The following is a 24,431-nucleotide window of genomic DNA, read 5'->3' on the forward strand; positions in this document are numbered from 1 at the left end:
ATCATTGCTGTTGTGAATAGTACTGCAATAAACATATGAGTACAGATATCTTTTTGATATAGTGAGTTATTTTCCTTTGGGTAGATACTCAATAGTGGGATTGTTGGATTGAGTGGTAGTTCTATTTATAGTTCTTTGAGAAATCTCCATACTGTCATAGTGAATGCACTAATTTACATTTTTACCAACAGTGCATAAGCATTATGTTTTCTCCTCACAAACACTTGTTATTTTTTCTTTTGAAAAATAGCCATTCCGACTCATGTAAAATGATATCCCATTGTGGTTTTAATTTGCGTTTCTCTGATAATTAGTGATGTTGAGCATTTTCATGTGCCTGTTAGCCATTTGTATGTTTATCCATGTCCTTTGCCCACTTTGTACTGGGATTATTTTGAGTTTTCTTTTTGAGTTGTTTGAGTTCCTTCTAAATTCTGATTACTAATCCCCTGTCACATGCATTATTTGCAAATATTATCTCCCATTCTATAGGTTGCCTGTTCAATCTTGATTATTTCTTTTGCTGTGCAAAAGATTTTTAGTTTAATTAAGTCCCATTTGTCTATTTTTGTTTTTGCTGCCTGTGCTTTTTACATCTTATTCATAAATACTTTGCCTAGACCAATGTCCAGGAGAATTTTCCTTAGGTATTTTTATAGTATTTTTATAATTTCATGTCTTGCATTTAAGGGTTTAATCCATGTTGAGTTGATTTTTGAATATGCTGAAAGATAAGGGTCCAATTTCATTCTTCTGTGTATGGCAATCAAAGTTTCCCAGCACCATTTGTTGAAAAGGGTGTCATTTCCCCAGTATATGTTCCTGTTGATTTTGTCACAAAAGAGCTGGCTCTGAGTGCATGGCTTTATTTCTGTGTTCCCTGTTTTGTTCCCTTGATCTATGTGTCTATTTTTATATCAGTACCATGCTGCTTTGGTTACTGTAGCCTTACAGTATAATTTGAAGTCAGGTAATGAGATGCCTCCAGCCTTATTCTTTTTGCTTAGTATTTATTTGGTTATTTGTGCTCTTTTTTAGTTCCATATGATTTTGAGGATAGTATTTTCTATTTCTGTGAAAAATGAATTTTTTTATGGATTGCGTTAAATCTGTAGATTGCTTTGCACAGTATGGTCATTTTAATAATGTTAGTTTTTTCTAATCCAAGAGCAAGGGATATTTTTCCATTTGTTTTTGACATCTACAATTACTTTCACCAGTGTTTTGTAGTTTTCCTTGTAGATATCTTTTACCTCTTTGGCTAAAATTATTCTTAGTTTATTTTTCACTAGCTGTTGTAAATGGGATTGTTGTCTTTATTTGTTTATCTGCTGGATCATTATTGGTATGTATAAATGCTACCAATTTTTTGTAAAGGGATCTTCAAACTTTACTAAACTAATTTCTCAAATTCAAAAGATATTTGGTGGAGACTGAGGTTTTCTAGATGTAGGTCATATCATCAGTGAACTGGGAAAATTTGACTTCCCCTTTTCAATTTGGATGCCTTTTATTTCTTTCTTTTGCATGATTGCTCTGGCTGGGTGTATTAGTTCATTCTCAAGCTGCTATGAAGAAATACCTGAGACTGGGTAATTTATTAAAAAAAGATGTTTAATTGACTCACAGTTCCACATGGCTGGGGATACCTCAGGAAACTTACAACCATGGCAGGAGGCAACTGTTCACAGGGCAGCAGGAGAGAGAATGACCGCCAACAGGGGAAATGCCAGACATTTATAAAAACCATCAGATCTCATGAGACTCACTCTTTCACAATAACAGCATGGAGGAAACCACTCCCATGATTCAATTACCTCTACCTGGTCTTTTCCTTGACATGTGGGGATTATAACAATTCAAGGTGAGATTTGGGTGGGGACACAGAGGCAAACCATATCATTTCACCACTGCCCCTCCAAAATCTCATGTCCTCACATTTCCAAACACAATCATACCCTTTCAATAGTCCCTCCAAATCTTTTTTTTTCTTTTTTCTTTTTTTTTTCTTTTTTTTTTTTTTAGATGGAGTCTCTCTCTGTCGCCCAGCCTAGAGTGCAGTGGTGCTATCTTGGCTCACTGCAAGCTCCACCTCCCGGGTTCACACCATTCTCCTGCCTCAGCCTCCTGAGTAGCTGGACTATAGGCCCCCGCCACCATGCCCAGCTACTTTTTTGTATTTTTAGTAGAGACGGGGTTTCACTGTGTTAGCCAGGATTGTCTTGATCTCCTGACCTTGTGATCCACCTGCCTCGGCCTCCCAAAGTGCTGGGATTACAGCCATGAGCCACTGCACCTGGCCTAGTCCCCACAAATGTTAATGCATCCCGGCATTAACCCAAAAGTCCAAGTCCGAAGTTTTATCTGAGAAGGGACTCAAGGCAAGTTCCTTTTGCCTATGAGTCTGTAAAATGAAAAGCAAGTTAGTTACTTCCTAAATATAATGGGGGACAGGGATTGGGCAAATACACTCATTCCAAATGGGAGAAATTCAGCCAAAACAAAGGAGCCACAGACCATATACAAGTCCGCAATCCAATAGGGCAATCATTAAACCTTAAAGTTCCCTAACAATATTCTTTGACTCCATATCTCACATCCAGTTCATGCTGATGCAAAAGTGGCCTCCCATGGCCTTGGGAAGCTCTGCCCCTGTGTCTTCACAGGGTACAGCACCCTCCCAGCTACTTTCACAGGATGGTGTTGAGTGTCTGTGGCTTTTCCAGGAGCATGGTGAAAGCTGTTGGTGGATCTAACATTCCATGGTCTGGAAAACAGTGGCCCTCTTCTCAATGTTCCTCTAGGCAGTGCCCCAGTGGGGGAATCTGTGTGGGGGTCACATGACACATTTTCCTTCTGCACTGCCCTAGCAGAAGTTCTCCTTTTGGGCTGTGTCCCTGCAGCAAACTTCTGCTGGATATCCAAAGGTTTCCATACATCCTCTGAAATGTAGGCAGAGGTCCCCAAACCTCAATTCTTGTCTTCTGCACACCTGCAGGCCTAACACCACATGGAAGCCACCAGGGCTTGGGGCTTGCACCCTCTGAAACATTGAACTGAGCTGTATATTGGCCCCTTTTAGCCACAGCTGGAGCAGCTGGGACGAAGGGCACCAAGTCCCTAGGCTGCACACAGCAGGGGGGCCCTGAATCCTGCCCAGGAAACCATTTCCCCCTCCTAGGCATCCAAACCTGTGATGGGAAGATCTCTTACATGCCCTGGAGGCATTTTCCCCATTGTCTTGGTGATTAGCATTTGGCTTCTCATTACGTATGCAAGTTTATGCAGCTGGCTACAATTCCTCTCCAGAAAATGGGATTTTTCTATTGCATCATCAGGCTTCAAAATTTCCAAAGTTTTGTGGTCTGCTTCCTCTTGAATGCTTGGCTACTTAGAAATTTCTTACACCAGATACCCTAAATCATCTCTCTCAAGGTCAAAGTTCCACAGATCTCTAGGGCAGGGGCAAAATGCTGCCAATCTCTTTGCTAAAGCATAGCAAGAGTCACCTTTATTCACGTTCCCAACAAGTTTTTTATCTCCATCTAAGACCACCTCAGCCTGGACTTTATTGTGCATATCACTGTCAGCATTTTGGTCAAACCCATTCAATGAGTCTCTAGAAAGTTCCAAACGTTATCACATCTTCCTGTCTTCTTCTAAGCCCTCCAAGGTGTTCCAACCTCTGTCTGTTACCCAGACAGTTCCAAAGTTGCTTCCACATGTTTGGGTATGTTTACAGCAGTGCCGCACTATCTCCATACAATTTACTATATTAGCTCATTCTCATGATGCTATGAGACTGAGTAATTTATAAAGAAAAGAGGTTTAATTGACTCACAGTTCCACATGACTGGGGAGGCCTCAGGAAACTTACAATCATGGCAGAAAGCAGCTCTTCACGGGGCAGGAGGAGAGAGAATGACTGCCAGCAGTGGAAATGAATGCCCGATGCTTATAAAACTTCCAGATATCCTGAGACTCACTCAGTATCATAAGAACAGCATGGGGGAAACCACCCCCATGATTTGATTACCTCCACCTGGTCCTGCCCTTGACACTTGGGGATTATTACTATTCAAGGTAAGATTTGTGTGGGGACACAGAGCCAGACCTTATTACTGGGACTCCAGTACTATGTTGAATCAGACTGGTGAGCATAGGCATCTTTGTCTTGTTCCAGTTCTTAGAATACTTTCAACTTTTCTCCAGTCAGTATGATACTGGTTGTGGGTTTGTCATAATGGTTCTCATTGTTTTGAGGTATTTTCCTTTTACAGAACCTTAGTTCATTGAGCTCTTTTATCATGAAGGGAAGTTGGATTTTTTTTAAACGCATTTTCTGCATGTGTTGAGATGATTATATGATTTTTGTTTTTAATTTGGATTGTGTAATATATCTTATTTATGTATTTATGTATTTCTTTATTTAAAGACAGTGTTTTGCTCTCTCATTCAAGCTGGAGAGCAGTGGTGCAATTATAGCTCACTGCAGCTGCAAACTCCTGGGCTCAAGTGATTCTCCCACCTCAGCCTCTGGAGTAGCTGGGACTACTGACATGTTCCACCATGCCTGGCTAATGTGTTTTTTTTTTTATTTTATTTTTTGTAGAGGTAGTTGTCTTACTATGTTGCCTAGGCTGACCTGGAATTTCTGACCTCAAGCCCTTCTTTCAACTTCGTGTCCCAAAGTGCTGAGATTATCACATTTATTGATTTGTATATATAGATTCATCCTTACATTCCTAGTATAAAACACACTTGATCATTATATATTATCTTTTTGATGTGTTATTGACTTAATTTATTAATATTTTGTTGAGGATATTTGTGTCTATGCTTTTCAAGGATATTGGCCTGTAGTTTCCTTTTATTGTTGTGTTGTCCTCTGGTTTTGTTATCAGGATGTTACTGGCCTCATAGCATTATTTAGGGATAATTTCCTCCTCCTCAACTTTTTGTAACAATTTCAGGATGATTGGTGTTAGTAGAATTTGGCTGTGAATACACCTGATCATGGGCTTTATTTTGTTTGATGGTTATTTGTATTAATGATTCAATCCCGCTACTCATTATTGTTCTGCTCAGGTTTTATATTTCTTCTTGGTTCAATCTTGAGAAAATGTAAGTTTCTAGGAATTTATCCATTTCCTCTAAGTTTTCAAGTATGCAAGCTTTTACTTCTTCATAGTAGTCTCTGATGATCTTTCATTTTTCTGTGGAATCAATTGTAATGTCTCCTTTTTATTTATGATTTTTATTTGTATCTTTTGTTAGTCTAGCTAATGGGTTATCAATTTTGTTTATGTTTTCAAAGAGCTAATTTCTCATGTTGGTTTTTCATACTTTTTCATTATTTATTTCATTTAGTTCTGCTCCGATATTTATTCCTTCTGCTAATTTTTTTTTTTTTGCTTTTTTGCTTTTCTTGCTCCTTGAGGTGTGTTGTTAGGTTGATAATTTGTAAGCTTTCTACATGTTTGAAGTAGGCAGTTAACGGTATAAACTTCCCTCTTAGCACAATTTTTGTATGTCTCATTGGTTTTGATATGTAGTGGTTCCATTTTCATTTGTTTTAAGAAATTTCTAGATTTCCTTCTTAATTTCTTCCTTAAGCCAATGATTGCTCAAGAGCATGTTGTTTAATTTCCATATATTTGTAGTTTCCTTAGTTTTCCTTTTCAGTGATTTTTAGTTTTATTCCATTGTGGTCTGAGAAGATGCTGGATATGAATTTGAATTTTAAAAATGTGTTGATATTTGTTCTGTGGCCAAGTATGTGGTCTATCTTGGAGACTGTTCCATGTGCTGAAGAGAAGAAGGAATATTCTGTAGTTGTTAGATAGAATATTCTATAGATGGTTCTCCCATGTTGAGTGCTTATATTTTTAGAATCATGATATCCTCTTGCTGAATTGATCATTTTATCAATAGCACTTGAGTTGTCTTTTTTTTTTACTGTTTTTGATTTAAAGTCTGTTGTATCTGATATAAATATAGCTACTCCTGCTGGCTTTTGATTTTCATTTGCATGAAATATCTTTTTTTTCACCCCTTTGATTCTGTATTTGTTTTTAAAGGAAAGTTTCTTGTTACCAGCATAAAGTTGGATCATGTTTTTTAATGTATTTCACCCATCTATGTCTTAAGTGTAGCATTTAATCTACTTACATTCCAGGTTATTGTTGACATGTGAAGTTTTGTGCCTGTCATGTTTTTTATTCCTTTTAATTGGTTTTATAAATTATTTGCTTTTTCCTTATTCTCTATGTTTCTTTATGATTTGATGGAATTCCATCATGTTGTCATTTGATTATTGCTCTTTCTCCTTTGTATGACTGTTTTGTAAGTCTTGTGAGTTTTATACTTCCACATGTTTTCGTGATGGCGAATAGTGAACTTTTGTTTCCATGTTTAAAACTCTTTTGAACATTTAATGTATGATCAGTATGGTGGGGAGGAATTATCAGTGTTTGCTTGTCTGGGAAATCTTTTATTTCTCCTTAACTTATGAAGCTTCCTCTTGTGGATAAAAAATGCTTGTCTGGCAGTTTTTTCTTCTTTTAGCACTTTGAAAATGTCATACAATTCTCTTCTGGCCTGTAACATTTCAGCTGAGAATTCCACTGTCTGATGGGTGTTCCTTTATAGACGACTAGATGTTTTTCTCTTTCTGATTTTAAAATTATTTATTTCCTGTTGATTTTAGTTATTTTGACTAGAATATGGTGTGGTGAAGTCCTTTTTGCAATGTATATTCTTGGAGATTGCTAATTCTCCTTTAGATGTCTGACACTCTTGCTAGAAATGCAAAATCCCCATAAATTACTCCCTCATATAGGTTTTCTCGACTTTTGGTTCTTTCTTCCCCCTCGGAAACACAGATAATTCTTAAGTTTGGTTGCTTTATGTACTTCAAAATGTGCTCTAGTCTTTATTCATTCTTTTAATTATTTTTTTGACTGACTGGATTATTTCCAAAGACTGGTCTTCATGTTATGAGACTTTTCCTTCTGCTTGGTCTTGTCTATCACTGAAATATTCAAATGTACTTTATATATCCTTCAATGAACTTTTCGGTTCTGGAATTTCTATTAAAAAAAAAAAACAATATCTGTCTTCTTGGTAAATTTCGCATTTATGTCCTGAATTGATTCTCCAATTTATTTGCATTTGTTTTCAGATTTCTCTTTCATGTGATTGAGCTTCTCTAAAATTAACATTTTGAATATTTTATCTGTCATTCAGTAATTTCATTTTGATTCATTTCTTTTCCTGAACAATTTTTTATGGTTTTATTGTGTCATATTTCCTTGCTTTTCATGTTTCCTGGTGTAACAGTAGCTTTTTCCAAGTTTTTGAAATTGCTTTTATACAGGAGGATTTTTGCTGAAAATGTATATATGTTATTGGTTGAGTCGGATACTTTGGCTTTGACTTTGGGTGCCCATGGTAGTGTAATCTATACATTTTTTTCTGTAATACACAGGGTCATTGGTATCTGTGATTTCCTCCGTGGTTAGGGTACAGTTATTTGTTAAGGCTGTGCTGAAATTTTGCTGGGGACTGGGATGCCAGATGGACCATTCTTCAGGCTCTAGTGGTGGCATCAATAGGCTGTGTCTGCCTGTTCTTAGTCCCCAGAGCAGCTTACATAGGCACCAGTGTTGATGAGTCCTGAAGGGCCAGTTCGTGGGCCTCCAGGTAGCTTGTTCGGATGCTGGTAGTGGCAGTGGTGGGCCATGCATTTGGGCAGGTTCCCAGGGCCCCTGGACTGCTGGTGTGGTGTGACTGAATGCAGTAGTGATGATGGAGCAACTCACTTGAAATCAAGTGGTTCATGCTCGTGTTGCTGGTGCCTGCAATTGGTTGTGGAGGCTAGTTCCCCTGGCCTGCTGGTAGCACATGTGGGTGGGTATCATCAGTTGTGGTATTGGTAGATTGGGTCAGTATGACTTCAGACTCTGGCAGCACCAATCAAATGCCAGCAATAATAATCTAGGCTGGGAAACTTCCTGGGTCCTGCATGGCATGCTTGAGTGTTGGGGATATGGGTCTAGGCAAGCAGACTTTTCCTTGAAGGTAATGACTTCAGGTGCTGGCTGTGATAAGCAAAAGTGGGGTTGTCCTCATGACACCAGTGGAATTCTCAGGAATGGACTGTCATGGCTATGCTGTATACCTGCCATCAGGGAGGGTGGGGCCCCTCATAGCGGGAGCACCATGCGCAGGTAGCTCTGGAAAGTACAGCCTGTCCACATCTTTGTCTCACAGAAGCGGTAGCAGGGGAGTGGGAATTGTTTTAGGAGTGCGTGGAATTGTCCAGTCTCCTCCCTCTTCAGCCAGGTGGCAGATGCAGCAGAGTCAGCCCAAACTCTGTCCATTGGTGGGGCACAGCCCAGTGTTACACTCTCAAAATTGCACCAGGTGTGGGCCCATAACCAGAGAGAGTGGTGCACCTCTCAGGTGAGCAGCATGGATAAGAAGCTGTAGAAAGTGAAGTCTGCTTATGCCTCAATCTTGCAGCAGCCTCAAGCAGGGTGGCGGAGATTGTCCTAGGGGTGTGTGGGAGCATTCAGTTTCCCAGATCCTTCCTCAGTCCAATGTTGGCAATGGCAGCAGCCTTGTCAGTGCTGCCTTGGGGCAGGATCTAGATCCTTGGTATCTAGGCTCTCAGAATGGTTCCAGGTTGAAGCTGCTCTGAGATTGGATGCCTGTGGGATTTTGGGTGGGTTCCCTGTCTGGAGCAACACCTCTGCACAATCACTAGCAATGACCTGTGTTAGGCCCAAGGCCTGTGGTGATTGATGGGTTCTTCTATAAGCCAAGATTGCTAAAGTCTGTTGCAGGAGTGTGGAGTCCTGGGAGCTTCTCCGTTACTTTTTCCCCATGTCCAGGAGCTTTTCTTGGTCCCCAGCCAGCCCCCATCCTGGTAAGCTGCTTCAAACCCTCTCATTACTTGTTTTTGGGGTTTCCATCAGTCTCTGCTGAATTTTAGTTTTCTCTTTTAGAAAGTCTGTTTGAAATGTGAATATCTACTCACTGTTCTTTAAATTTTATGATCCTAGCAGTTTTACATAATAAAACAAATATTTAAATTTGTATAACTCATTATTTTACAAAATATCTTAGTTGAAGTCACCAGGTCTTTTATATCATCTTTACCATTTAGGTAAACTGTGTTTCCAAATATGCATTATCAGAATATTTAACATTTAATTATTAGAAGTAAGTGTCTTCATTATGAAATTTGATTTCCATCTGACAAATCCACTATGAATTAAGAAAAGTCACAATGGCCTTTCCCAAAACCTCTTTGTTGTGTATAGTATAATAGATTTAAAACATACCTACAGAAAAACAATATGCAAAATTTGAAAGATGCAGTATGAGACTAGGGCACATTATAAAAAGGGTCCAAAAAATGTGTTTAGTTATATAAAACTTGTGAAAATTTACAGAAAGAGCTATCAAATTATTTTGATATGTTTAAATTACTCTTACTGTCATGTTTTTTTTTCTTTCAGATCAAAATTACATTTTGATATAGTTTGGATATTTGTCCTCACCCAAATCTCATGTTGAAATCTAATCCACAATGTTGGAGCCAGGGCCTGGTGGAAGGTGTTTGGATCATGAGGGTGGATCCCCCATGAATGGCTTGGGGCATCTCTGTGCTGAAAACTGAGCTCTCACTCTGAGTTGACACAAGATCTAGTTGTTTAAAAGGGTGTGGCACGTGCCCCATCACATTCTCTTGCTCCTGCTCCGGTCATGTGATGTGCCTGCCCCCACTTCACCAGCTGCCATAAGTAAAATCTTCCTGAGGCCTCCCCAAAGCAGATGCCAGTGATATGCTTCCTGCACAGCCTGCAGACCCATGAGCCAATTAAACTTTTTTTCTTATAGGTTAACCATTGTCAGGTATTTGTTTATAGCGACGCAAGAAAGGCCTAATACAGAAAACTGGTACTGAGGGATAAAACATTGTTGTAAAGATACCTGAAAATGTGAAGCTGACTTTAGAACTGGGTAATGGGCAGAGGTTGGAAGAATTTGGAGGGCTCAAAATAAGACAGAAAAATGAGGAAAAGTTTGGAACTTGTTAGAGACTGATTAAATGGTAGTGACCAAAATGCTGATGGTGATATGGACAGTGAAATCTAGGCTGCTGAGATCTCAGATAGCAGTGAGGAATTTATTTGGAACTGGAGCAAAGTTCACATGTGTTATACCTTAGCAAAGATCCTGGGTTGCATCCGATTCATGCCCTAGGGATCTGTGGAAGTTTGAACTTGAGAGTGATGACCTGAGATATCTGGCATAAGAAACTTCTAAGCATCAAAGTGTTCAAGATGTGGCCTGGCTGCTTCTAACAACATATGCTCTTATGTGGAAGCAAAGAAATAATGAAAGGTTGAAAGTTATATTTAAACAGGAAGCAGAGCATTAAAGTTTGGAAAATTTGCAGCCTAGCTATGTGGCAAAAAAAGAAAAAAGCTCTTTTGGGAGAGAAATAAAAGCAGACTATGGAGCAACCATTTGCTAGACATATTTGCATATCTAAAAGAAAGCTAAGTGCTAATATCCAAAACAATGAGACAAAGACCTCAAAGGTATTTCATAGAACTTCATGCAGCCCCTCCCATCACAAGCCTAGAGGCCTAGGAGGGAAGAATTATTTCTTGGGCCAGGCCCAGGGCTCTGCTCCCCTGCACAGCCTTGGGACACAGCTCCCTGCATCTCAGCTGCTTTAGCTCCAGCCTCAGCTCAGAGGACCCCAGATAATGCTCTTGCCACTACTCCAGAGGACACAAGCCACCATATCCCTCGGCAGCTTCTGTCTGATGTTAATACTACAGACACACAGAATGCTTGAGTGAATGAGACTTAGCAGCCTTTGCTAGGTTTCAGAAAATGTATGAGAAGGCCTGGGTGTCCAGGCAGAAGCCTGCTGCAGGGGCAGAGCCCTCACAGAGAACCTCTACTAGGGCAGTGCAGAGGGAAAATAACGGGGTTGGAGCCCTTACACAGAGTCCCCACTGGGGCACTGCCTAGTGAAGCTATGAGAAAGGGGCTACGGGCTCTGAGACCCCAGAATGGTAGATCCCCTGGCAGTTTACAACTTCAGTATGGAAAAGCCACAGATGCACAACAACCTGTGAGAGCAGCACAGGGTCTGAACCCTGTAAAGCCACAGGGGCAGAGCTGCCCAAGGCCTCAGGAGTCCACCACTTGCATTAGTGTTCCCTGGAGTTAAGGGCACTTGGGACATGGAGTCAAAGGAGATTATTTTCGAGCTTTAAGATTTAATGACTGCCCTGCAGGGTTTTGAACTTGCGTGGGACCTTTCTTTTGGCTGATTTCTCTCTTTTGGAACATGAATGTTTACCCAATGCCTATACCCCTGTTGTATCTTGGAAGTAAGTAATTTGAATTAATTGATTTTAAGTAACCAATTAGTTTTATAGGCTCATAGGTGGAAAGGACATGCTTTGTCTCACACGAGACTTTGGACTTTGGACTTTTGAGTTAATGATGAAACAAACCAAGACTTTTGGGGACTGTTGGAAAGGCATGATTGTATTTTGCAATGTGAAAAGGACATGAGATTTGGGGGTGTCTAGGGGTGGAATGATATAGTTTGGATATTTGTTGCTGCTCAAATCTCATATTGAAATGTAATCCCCAATGTTGGAGGTGGTACCTGATGGGAGGTGTTTGGATTATGGGGGCAAATCCCTTGTGAATGTCTCAGGCCATCCCCTTGGTGATAAGTGAGTTCTCACTCTGAGTTCACATGAGATCTGGTTATTTAAAAATGTGTTGCACCTACCTCCACACCCTTTTTCCTGCTCTAGCCATGTGATATGCCTGCTCCTGCTTCAACTTCCATGAGTAAATGCTTCTTGAGGCCTCCCCAGAAGCAGACACGAGTGCTATGCTTCCTGTGCATCCTGCAGAACCATGAGCCAATTACATCTCATTTTTTTTTATAAATTACCCAGTATCAGGTATTTCTTTATATGAATGCAAGAACTGCATAACACATCCCTTTTGCCATATCGTTTTTAAAAATCCCTGGGGTTAAAAAAAAAACAAGCTGTGATATTGAAACATGTTTTCAGTGTCCTTCTAAACACATGCCACTCTTCTTTAGCTTGGTTTATATTAAGCTGATGCCTGTGCTAATGCTTGTCACTGATGATCATAACACTTTGATCACTAATTCCACTGGAAAGTAGTCTTCTAGTATGTTCTTTGAATAATAGGATTATATGATGCGTAGAATATATCAAGATAATAAATGACTGGATATACAAATCATACTTATTTCTAGCATTTAGCATTTCTAAACAAAGGTCCTAGGAGCAACTTTTAAAATATTTCTGCACTTCAGTTTTCCTTTCTGCAAAATGGATCTTGCTTTCTTTATACTTTACTTCTATATTTACATATAAAATTTATATTTAAATTATAGTTTACATCTGAAAACTGGTTAGTCTAATCTGTAAGCCATGTTAACTTTTCATTTTAATTCAAGCAAGTCAATCTGTCATTTGCTGGCAGGCTAATTTGTTAACAATTAATTGAATCAGATGAAACCACTGGTATCTGGTTTAAAAAATTTGTTGATCCATTCATATTTTTTGTTTTCCATTCATTGAATCACTATTGTGTATCAGGTAGTGCTCAAGGTTTATGATTTAAATGGGAGAGACAAATAATGAACAAAATAAATAATTATATAATTCTCGATTAAGTATTTAGATAGACAAAATGAACCCATATTTATTCTTTTGAAAACATAGTGGAGTTTGCTTTTATGCCCTATGAGACCAGGGTTTCTGAGTTATAAAAAGAAGTGAAACTACATATAATTATTTACATGTATCTACCTTCTCATTGCTTAAAATTTTAATACTGAGTGATTTGTTAGAGTGCTATTTTTGTCTCTTATTTTTCACATTCCTAAAAAGAAGGTTATGGGATGTATGCAACTGTGATTGAGTGCATACACACGAAATACATTTGTTTTCATAATGTTACAAGTCTAGTTTTGGTTGTTTGAGTGCTCATAGACTCAAATGAACACAGCACTTGGTGTACTTATTCATGAACTTAATATTTGCTTAGTCAGATAATGTTGAATGTTAGGATGAAAGAAAAATCTCTGATTTCTATAATGGACTTATATATTTACTGTTTTCGATTTTATTATTTTTGGGCCAGCATCCAGTGATATGCCTAAAAACCAGCTCCCCAAAAACCAAACAAATCAAAATAAGAAGAAAACTGCTATTTATAACATTTGCCAATTTTCTTTGTGTAAACATTTCTATCGTGGCAGATTTCAGGTTACCAACAGCTTAACAACTGGCTCACAAAATTAATGAATATTTAACAATTGGCTCTAGTTTGAGCAGGTCCAAGGCAGCACCCTCCTTTAAAAATATTGTACTACATATGAAATGGGTATCACTTCAGACTCTTCACGGCAATCTTTTCTTATATCTATTAAGCAAAGCAAACAACAAAAACTTTTCCAACCAGTTTACTTTTCAATACCTTCAACAAAGCATGACACATTAACTAAATATTTGAGAATTCTCTATAAAAGTGAATGAAAAAAGTTTGTTTACCAGTTTAATTTATACCACTTTAACAGAGAATGGTATTAAATTGGAAGGGAGTTTAGCTTAATTGCATTTGGATCATTTTTTTATCAGCATGTAAATATTGGTAAAAAAAAGAAAATGTTTGGTGATTAGAAGTGTGGATGCCTGCAAATGTCCTCAAATAGTGAAAGCTACCACAAGGGAAAATACACCTGGCTAAGCCTTTTTCATTTTAGGTCTCAGAAGTGATATAACTTGTAGAAGCTTAGATTCCAAAGAAAATATTTATGGCTTACATAGTTTGATAGATTTCCTTGCCTTCATGGATTTAAATAATTAACAATGCATCTTAGATGCATAGGATATATCTACTATAGCAACACTGCCCGTAATGGTAGCCACTAGGCATGTGTGGGTATTTTAACTTAAATAAAAATATAAAATTCAAACTTCAGTTAATGAATTAGTCACATTTCAAGTGCTCAATAGTCACATGTTATTTGTGGCTACTATATTAGACAGCACAGTTATAGAATGTTTTCATCATTGGAGAAAGTTCCATTGGACAGCACTCCATTAAATAGGGTGAATGGAAGGTCTAGAACCATCAGTCATTTTGAGAACAAGAAAGGATAATAAAGACTTAAAAATCAGCAAGTGTCTTGAAATTATTCTTTCAGTTACCCAGAAAGGACAGCTACTATTGACTTTTGGCTTATTGTGCTATTGTCTTCATCACTTTCTGTTAGAAAACAGAATTCACTGATTTAGCAAATGTTGAATGTATGCAAAATACTCTGTTATATTGCTTTGTCCAAAACACAGAAAAGAAACAGACATAGAAAACCTCCACCCCCAAAAGGATTTATAGAATTATATGCCACTTCTGGCTAAAGCCATCATAATTTGTTAGTTAAATAAGATGCATTCAGAAGCAGATTTTATTAGAGGTAGTATGGTATAATTGCTATCTGCCTGGATTTGAATCCTGGTTTTACCACTCCTTGTTATGTGACCTTAGGCAAATTAATTAACTTGCCTGTGTCTCAGATTGCCTCATGGTCCCAATGAAATGGAGATGCTAATTGTAACTACTTCATAGTGTTAACATAGGCCTAAGTGAGATAAAGCATGTTAACACATTTAGAGCAATGTTTGGCACCTACTAAGTGCACAGCATGTATTAGCCAATATTTTCTTTATGTTTTACATTCAATAATCCATATAGAAATAGTAATAAGTAGAAAACAATATTGTGGCCAAAAGCTAGCATGAGATATAAGTGGCTTCCTCTATGTAGGTTCTTCTGTATGTTCTCTTATCAGTAATGGGACAAAGGGAGGCCCCACCATTAAATTCACCTACAGTTATTGGCCTACAGCATTGATTTACCTGTGATAGTTGCCTTGATTTGATACCCCAGAATAAAGATTATGAGCCTGATGGGGGCTGGAGAAGGGTGCCCAATTTAATATCAAATTTGACCTGGTTGGTGTTTAATTTTAAATAATATTTGAATGTTTACATGTGAATTATTTAGTATAGTTTGCACCGTGGGCACCTACAATGCATATGAAAACACACATATGCCTTCCTTTCATCCCCAACGTGGTGCGTTAGGCAGTCAATAAATATTTGTTGCATGAGTGAGTAAAAGCTAAAGGAGTCACTGGATATTAAACTTTGGGCAGTGTTTCCAACATAAACTATTATTAGTAATACAGACTTTAAATCCAAAAGTGGGAAAGACATTACAAGTTGCAAACAAATGTTTCTTGTTGTTTTTTGTCAGTAGATAGTTTGGGAATATTGCTACACAAGGCACATGGTAAATTTTAGTTCTGGCTCAGATCCCTTTGGTGTTGGCTCAACTATTAGCATGTGTAGCTAAATAACTAATATAGCTATAACATGAATTGGAAATTGCATTATGATCATTAGGCTTGCAAGACTATTAATCCTTCAATTATATTACTGAATGTGGCAAAATCATGAAGACAAAAATAGGTAAAATACCTTACTGGTATGGAATTCTATTCCCTGTTTGACATTTAAGTGTCTTACAGTACATTTTTCTCTATTTGTGGGAAACTGTATAATGTCAGTGTGCCATAGTTTTGTTCTGATAACACATTTAAGAAATTTAAGTTGGAAGCTGTTATTTGGCAGTTTACCAACACCATCTGATTAGCTCTGTTTCTTGTTTGGCTGAGCAGCTGGCAATTAATGAATTGATAGGAAATGGTCACACGGCAGTGGCATTAGCGTGTGAACATCTGGTATTAAAATTAGTCAACACAGAGGTTTTTGTGTGATAATTCAAATTCACTGACAAGAATCACTACTTGGGTCTCATTCTAAGTGCTCTATGGAAAGAGAAAGCTATTACTATCTCAGAGCATGAGACGAAGATACATTTAGTGGGCATTAAGGGTTGTTTGTGTTTGTTTGTTAGTTTGGGTGGGTGGGTGGGTGGCAGAGTTACAAGCCCACAACTTAACTTGGAAACCATGCATTTTTCCCACTGAACTATTCATTCTCCCACTTGAAGGTATTTTATGCTATGGTCAGATATGGCTGATTCCTTTAATCTGTAAGCCTTTTCCAGGACAAGTTCATCACATTAAAGAGATGAGAGGGTTCTTTGTTCAGACACCACATAGGTCACACAAAGGGTGTGTGTATTATTTTGGACTCTCGTGCTTACATATTCCAGCTGCACCCCCAATCTGGCATCATTTCTTATGCATAATATTATATTATCTCCTCTAATTCGGGATTGAAATTATGCCTTCAAAACCACTGAAGAGTGAAAGCTGCCGTTATCTAGAATATTTTTTCTGAGTGGTGAGTTTCTTAACCATTCCTAGAGAAACAAGGTAAGAGTATTGCGGATTCACTGTTTCATAGACTAATGAAACACATATATTGTGATAAATTCTACCCTGGAATAGGGAGTTTAACAATTGCTAAATTGCATAATTTTTCCTTTTTAACCTCAAGAGCCCTTTTTCCATTTTTTAAGTTTATGAAAACTTTGCTATATTCATCACTGTTAATTTAAATTCAATGGTAAATTGGTGATTGTAGAACACAGACCAATGCTTGAATTGGTTCATAAAGATCCATAAAGTGTCATGCTTCCAATAGTATTTAGATATACCAACTTTCAGCATAAAGTACTCCCCCTATTTAGTGGTAAGCTACGTTAGTAAAAACAATGAGCAAATTTTTTATTTTACTGTCTCTGGTTTTATTATTAAAGTCTTTCAAGTTACAGTCTGTTCTGTTTCTGCAGAACTCTGGTGACAACACAGAAGAAGCATATCAATTAAATATGAAATATCAAGACAAATACATGCATAAAATATCCAACATTCAAATAAACTTCCAAAAGCCACTCCTCAGTAGCAAAATGCCATTAAATCCTTTAGGAACACATTAATAGATTAACATTTGGAAAAGTAATTACAATGAGAGTTGAAGTCAAACTAAATAAAAAAAGAAGACATCTATTACATAATTCTACTGAATTCTTGAAAGAAATCAATATAATAAAATATCAGAGGAAATTCAACGTTGAGACAGTTGTTTTTAAAAGGCAATGGAACATGTGCACATACATATTACCACATGGTAGAGATATTTAACACACATATGTTAGTACTTCATAAATTCTGTGTATACTTCCATATTTCCAAGAATGTAAAATAATATATTGAAATGAAATAAATGGCCTCTATGAACATGGTCAGAGTTGATACTTTAGTGCCAATAAACTGAATCTTAAGCCAAATTGACTGTGTTAAACCTTATAAAAAACTAAATTTTCTAAACATTGTCCCATTCTTTATGAAGGTTCAAATGTACTTTCAAATAATTTGATAAAATGGGCAACATTTTTAACCATTTGTGATATATCTCTAAAGAAAAGGAACTGGTATAGTAGAGGAAGGGATTGTATGTACTAATTAATAGCATTTTCCGTAACAACTTATTCTTTTTAGGCAAAGTCCTTGAACTATGTGAGTACACATCAGAATCTGAGTTATTATTGAAGATTGTATTACTAATTGCAGGGAAAAATAGGAATTGTGAGAATGTATAAATTTTGGAAATCTCTGTCCTTTGCTACTTTGGATTTGGAGAAGACTTCTGTGGTGTTTCATAGGAGCTGCAGCTATTTTTGATGGGGCACAAATTAAATATGTGAAAAGTAACAGGGTTGTAAAAGTCATAAATGCCACATAAATGAAGTTATCAATGAGTAAAAGTGATTAGAGTTTTAGATTTGCAAGTTTCCTTTTTAAATACTTATTGATTTGTTGCAAATACTGTTAACCCTGTATTTGGCAAATGGTGAAGGCATTATCACTTGTGTTCTCATTTGTAATAAAACAGATTAACTTGCTGTGAAATTTTAACTAGGCTGAGACACAACAGTAGCCACCTAATGAACCAAAGCATATTGCAGTTAAGTAGCTAAATAGATGCATACTTATTACAGGGCTAAAAAATTGATCTGTTTACTTGCAAAGAAGAAATTGTTCATATAATTATTCATTATTTTAGGAGAACTTAAACATTCCACTTCCACAGAGATTTAAAAAAAAACACAACACCTAATTCTTAATCAATGTACGACACTGCATTCATATAACATGGTTTGCATGGTGAAAAAAGTCTGACTTCTGTGCTGCCTTAGAAAAATAACAATGGACTGAAACTTGATCGAATTTGGTAAGTACAGGCTACAAAATCTTAAAGGAGAAAATTTGCTTCATACAAAATGTTACTGTCACTCTTAATATTCACCTTCTAAATTATGTTCTCAAAGTTTGTTCATTGTTTTACATAATATGCTGCTGAAAATGCAAAGAAGGAGTTTCAGCATAAATTATTGGAGTTTATATCATTTTATCCTATGCTAATTTTAAATATGTTAGGGGAATCCACTATTTTTTCTTAATATTAGTTAATATCAATTGCATTTTTGTTAACGTTCTTGATATTTTCTGTTTTTATAGGTGCTCTTATGATTTTTATTTACTCATAATGAGCATTCAGTTTTTATTAGGCAGAGTGAGCAAGACCAAGTTTCACTGTCAGTTGGATTCTCTTGCTTTTTTAAACCATGAAACTGTAGGGATCACTTAAAAATTGTTTATTTTTATTCCAGCAGCATACATTGCTGTATATGTGATTCTGGTTTGCTGTTACACAGTGATTTTCCTTTTGTAAGTTTTATTTTTTCACAATAACTGCTGCACTTTGTCCCTTTCCATTCATTCAGAGGTCCATTAGAGATAAACATAGTTCATTGAATTACACATATTTAAAGGAAATTTTCAGGGTTGGAATTCAAACACAAATAGTGAATGTTCTGCGGTTTTTGCACATATTTTGGCATGGAATCAGTGAGACACAATGATGAAAGGCAAAAATGGCCACATATATTAAATTCCTTTTATATATATACACATGCACACACATACTATTTCAATAATATATTTGAAAGCATTATAGTTTAAGTTGAATTTCACAACTGATAAACTACAAGTCTATTTTTAAAAAGTGAAAGGGTATGATAGAAGGGCTGTATGGATATTGCTGTCAGTACCCATATCATCCCTCCAAAATGTGAATAGAATTATTGGGGGAAAAAACTTGATTCTTTTCTTCTGTTTTGCTTCTGTATTTCTTTTTATTTTTCCGTGCAGACATTATGTGACAAGTAGATATTTTCCTGCAGACTAAATATAAAAGAAATGTATCAGTATTCTACTCTGTTTGGAAACATTGTTTTGGAGGCATGACAACAGCTATAAAGTCCTTAACATGTAATATACATTTAAAATTATTGCTATTTAATTAGCATATATTGTAGCTAATATACTCAAAATCTACTATTCATTTCACTAAAATTGTTGGATGTTAATGAAATGCTAAGCAATAATGTCAAACAAAATTTAAAAATATGCATACTACATTGATGACCGTATTAGTGTTCTATTGTTGCTATAACAAATTGCCACAAATTTAGTGGTTTAACACAGTGCAAATTTATTATCTTGGAGTTCTGTAGGTCAGAAGTTGGACATGAGGTTCACTAGGCTAAAAGCAAGGTGTGGTCAAGGTGTGCTGCATTTCTTTCTATAGGCTCCAGAGAAGAATCTGTTATCTGTTTTCTTTTCTTCTTTTAAAATAATTTCAACTTTTATTTAGATATATGGGATACATGTGCAAGTTTTTTACATGAATATATTATGTGATGGTGAGGTTTAGGATACTAATGATCCTGTCACCTAGGTAGTGAGTATAGTGTCTAATAGGTAGTTTTTCAGCCCTTTCTCTCTCCCTCTCTACCCCCTCTAGAAGTGCCCAATGTTTATTGTTAAAGGTCACTCACATCTCTTTGCTCATGGCTCCCTTCTTCCATCTTCAAAGCCAGCAATGTTGCATCTCTGTGACAATTCCTCTGCAGTCATGTCTCCCTCTGACCCTTCTTTTCTGCCTGTGTCTTCCACAGTTTAGAATCCTGGTGATCAGATTGGGTCCACTAAGATAATCCAGTATAATCTCCCTATTTCATGATTCTCAATTGCATCTGCAAAGTCCCTTTGGCCATGTGAAGTAACAAATTCACAGGTTCCTGTAATTAAGATGTGGAGTGGAGATTTTAAGTTGGGGAGGTGGCATCACTGTGCCCGCTGCAATGCCAGACATTGGATAATGTTAACTACTACTAATGAAATAATAAATTTTAACTCTCATGCTATTACTTTTGCATTAAACGAACAGTTTTTTAGGGGGGTTATTTGGGCTTCTCATGCAAAATCAATGTGGAAATGTACAAGCACATATTCGACAAATTATTTCTTAATGTTATAATGATTAGAATAATGATGTGATTACAGATAATTAGACACAACATTTAATTGAAGAAATTTATTATGGATGAATTAAATATTTTATAGAACATTCTCTGTGCTGGCATGTTTATCACCCAGTCACATTTATTGCATAAGTGCATAAACCCTGCAATTTGGTTCTTTTATTGATCAAATTAACTTAATGATTTGGATTTAGTCATCAATTTGTGATGCATAAACATAGTGAATAGCTTCAGTGTTTTATAGCAATTTTAATAATCAGAAGTCTTGAGAGCCATAATAATTACTGCAGAAGTATGCAAAAATATTTTATTAAAATACATTATTGAAAACTACAAAAATATATGGAATAGTAGAAGAATTGACCTTGATAGATCATAGTGTAAGTTTGAAAAAAAACAATAATGGTGTACTGTGACTATTAAAATATGTATACTTTTTTTGATATGAAGTTTTGCTCTTGTTGCCCAGGCTGGAGTGCAATGGCGTGACTTCGGCTCACTGCAATGTCCACCTCTTGGGTTCAAGGGATTCTTCTACATCAGCCTCCCCAATAGCTGGGATTACAGGTGCCTGCCACCATGCCTGGCTAATTTTTTGTATTTTTAGTAGAGACGCGGTTTCACCATTTTGATCAGGCTGATATCGAACTCCTGACCTCAGGTGATCCACCCGCCTTGGCCTCCCAAAGTGCTGAGATTACATGCGTGAGCCACCATGCCCAGCCTATTAAAATATTTTGTTGGCAGAATTCAACATAAGTTATTAAGGTCTGAGAGGTTATAGGTATCTAATATACAAGTATATTATTTCTATAAATTTTATCCATGCAGAAAAGCTCAACATGTGCCAGGTGCCACAATTTGTGAGTTTTATTCCAGGGCTCTCAAGTCTTTACATTTGGGAGTTCTCCTTCTTAATGAGATAGGAGTATCACACTCCAGGCCTTGCCATGAACTTCACATCAATCTGGAAACTACAATAACAATAACCTTCAAAACACACCTACACTGTTAATCATTTATGAATTTTTTAGCAGAGCAAATGGAAATTAACTTTTCTTGACCCTTTACTATATGCTTTTTTGACTTTTTCTATAATTTAGCCCTCATGATATTTTATTAATTTCACAAGAATCAAAAATATATTTTTGTTTAAATATATGTATTTAAGACCAATTATTGTAGATGTGTACACTTTCACAATAAGTGAGAGGTCAACATTTCAAATGTAGAGACTCAACCAACATAAAAACTTGGCGCATAGATGACATTTCCTTTTGTGTTTCCTTTTGTGTCAGGAGCGGATCCCAGAGAGTCCTTCTCCTGCTCCTTCTCTAGAAGAGAATCATCGTCCTGGGAGCCAGACCTCTTCCCACACCAGCAGCAGTGTGTCCAGCTCTCCCTCTCAGATGGATCATCATTTGGAAAGAATGGGTGAGTAACTTTTCTGAAACAGGTAATTGGAAAACATTGTTTCTGGAAATTAGTTGTTAGGAAAAATAGAGGAGAGGGAAAAGCTGGGGAAGCTGATACCTCCTTAATATAAATAGCTTTTTGAAATTTGGTCTTTTGTAATTGCTGAAACAATATGACTAACAAAATGAAACTTACATTGTTAGAAGTTTGTTCTCTGGAAAGATCTTCCTTTACTGTATCATTCAATCTCATGGAAGTAATATGATGAAATTTTTGTAGAGTATGGGTGAGTTCTATATGTGATACAATACGCCTGACACAGTCACAACATCTTTTGAATAAGGGAAGTTAAAATATCCTTTAGGCAGTTGCCCATTTAAGAGTGATTAAAAAGTGAATCAATATAAGATTTGCCAAAATCTCAACAACTTAGATCACAAATATTTAACAGGATTTCACCTACATGTATTTATTTTATTTTATTTATTTATTATTATTATTTTTATACTTTAAGTTTTAGGGTACATGTGCACAATGTGCAGGTTAGTTACATATGTATACATCTGCCATGCTGGTGTGCTGCACCCATTAACTCGTCATTTAGCATTAGGTATATCTCCTAATGCTATCCCTCCCCCCTCCCCCCACCCCACAACAGTCCCCGGAGTATGATGTTCCCCTTCCTGTGTACATGTGTTCTCATTTGATTTCCCCTACATTTATATATATTTTGTTTTCTCAGAAGCCTTACACCATAGATGCTATTCCAGAAATTGGTTGTGATGTGGCATATTGGGAATTTTAGTCTAGCTATAGGTCTGGCACTAACTAGCTGTAACATCTTGTGTATGCCACTTAACCACCATGAGTTTCTTTACCTATTATACGGAAAAAACTTATCACCCTGCCTAATGCACTGGATTATTGAGCGGTGAAATGAAATATTATGTGAAAAAAGTGCCAAGGAAGTGTGGGCAATAAAAATTACTCTTCTCTGTGTGACTTGACTTTGATTACTTATCATTTCCTTCTATATAATTCTACTCAGGTATATAGAAGTCGACAGGTACATTCAGCTGTAACAAATTCTCATTTAGTATATAGTAATTACCGATCAATTGAGCTAGGTAAAATATTTGTTGATCTTCTATACCTACACAGTCCAATTTCCTATGTACCCATTTCCTTTCAGGAAAATGATTTTTGCTATTCCTTTACTCTTACAAGGGGGAAGTTCTTTAAGTGAACTCTGAATGTTTACAGCTCATAATAGCGATTGCTTTCAGCCTTTCCAAAATAATGTATTTTCTTGGGGGAAGAGAAATTTGGGAGGCTAGGGAAGGTTTTAGATTCCAGAAGGATGAAGACTATCTCTTGGGGAAATTAGTCCAAATCTCACTTAGCTTGTCAGTATTATATGTTTTTTGGAGCCCTTTAGCTTCATAGTGAGCATAGCAGTTCTCAAATCTGGCTCCCAATTATAATCACCTATGGAGTTTTTACTAATATGGATGCTGAGGCCACAAGCTCAGAGTTTGATTCACTTGGTCTGGAATAGAGCCTGGGCAGCAGTATTTTGTTTTGCTTTTCAGCATTTCTTCAAGAGATTCTTATATGTAGCCAGGGTTAAGAACCAGTGGATCAGAACTTGAGGCTAATGTCCCTCAGAGAGTAAGTTTAATTCCTGGAAGACATGACAGACGTCTTCTAGCTTTACTCTTTTCTACGACATAGACTACCTGGTTGTTACTACATTGTGTACAACTGATTCTAGAAAGTCTGAGAAAGAACGAGAGTCTACAAATGAGTGACCGCTAATGAATTTAAAAACCAAAAGGACACATTCTTCTGTTGGTATACCATTCATATTGATGAGGGTGGGAAGAAGGAGACAAAAAGGGGAAAGGGATATATAGAGATAATTATTTATTGAGTGCTGGCTAAAAAGCACAGCACATAGGGAAATATATAATCATATGGCATGGGTTATGCATTGTTGCTGTCGCCATGAGTTAGACAGTAGCTAACATGTAATTTATCAGATCACCAGATAGTTTATTTGTACTTCACCACAGGGTAAATTTTTCTATCTACTAAAGGTGCCCATAATATATAGAAAAAAATATATTTATGATATAATAGATATATCATAAAAGAATGGACAACTTACACTTAGAAGTAAAATCAAATATATCCAAAGCAATGTAATATCCTAGAAAAAAATGTTGACAATATAGTTTATTTCTAATTACACTGGCAGTAATTAGGCTCTATATGCACATTCCATAGTTGTCTAAGAATGATACCAAGATTGTCTATAAATAAATAAGAAGGCTTGAGAATGTTTAACTCTACAGTTACCATATTTTATTAATAGGGCTACATAATGTTTGAATAAAATATGACTAAAGATAATTAAATTATAAACTCTGAAAATTAACATTTTTCTCTTTCAATATGTTTTATAAAGTATCATAATAATTTTCAGAAAGTTATATTAT

General features: G+C 36.6%; 1 protein-coding gene across 8 annotated transcripts in view; it reads left to right on the plus strand.

Moving 5' to 3' along the window:
- DACH2 (dachshund family transcription factor 2) overlaps window positions 1-24,431 on the plus strand; it is a 684,152-nt gene that overhangs the window by 569,484 nt on the left and 90,237 nt on the right. For all 8 annotated transcript variants that reach the window (XM_011530846.3, NM_053281.3, XM_017029254.2 and 5 more), the window contains one exon: window positions 21,813-21,948. In XM_011530846.3, coding sequence (XP_011529148.1) covers window positions 21,813-21,948 — 136 coding nt within the window. The remainder of the gene's footprint in view (window positions 1-21,812; window positions 21,949-24,431) is intronic.

The sequence above is a fragment of the Homo sapiens genome, chromosome X, assembly GCF_000001405.40.
Source record: "Homo sapiens chromosome X, GRCh38.p14 Primary Assembly".
NCBI lineage: Eukaryota > Metazoa > Chordata > Mammalia > Primates > Hominidae > Homo > Homo sapiens.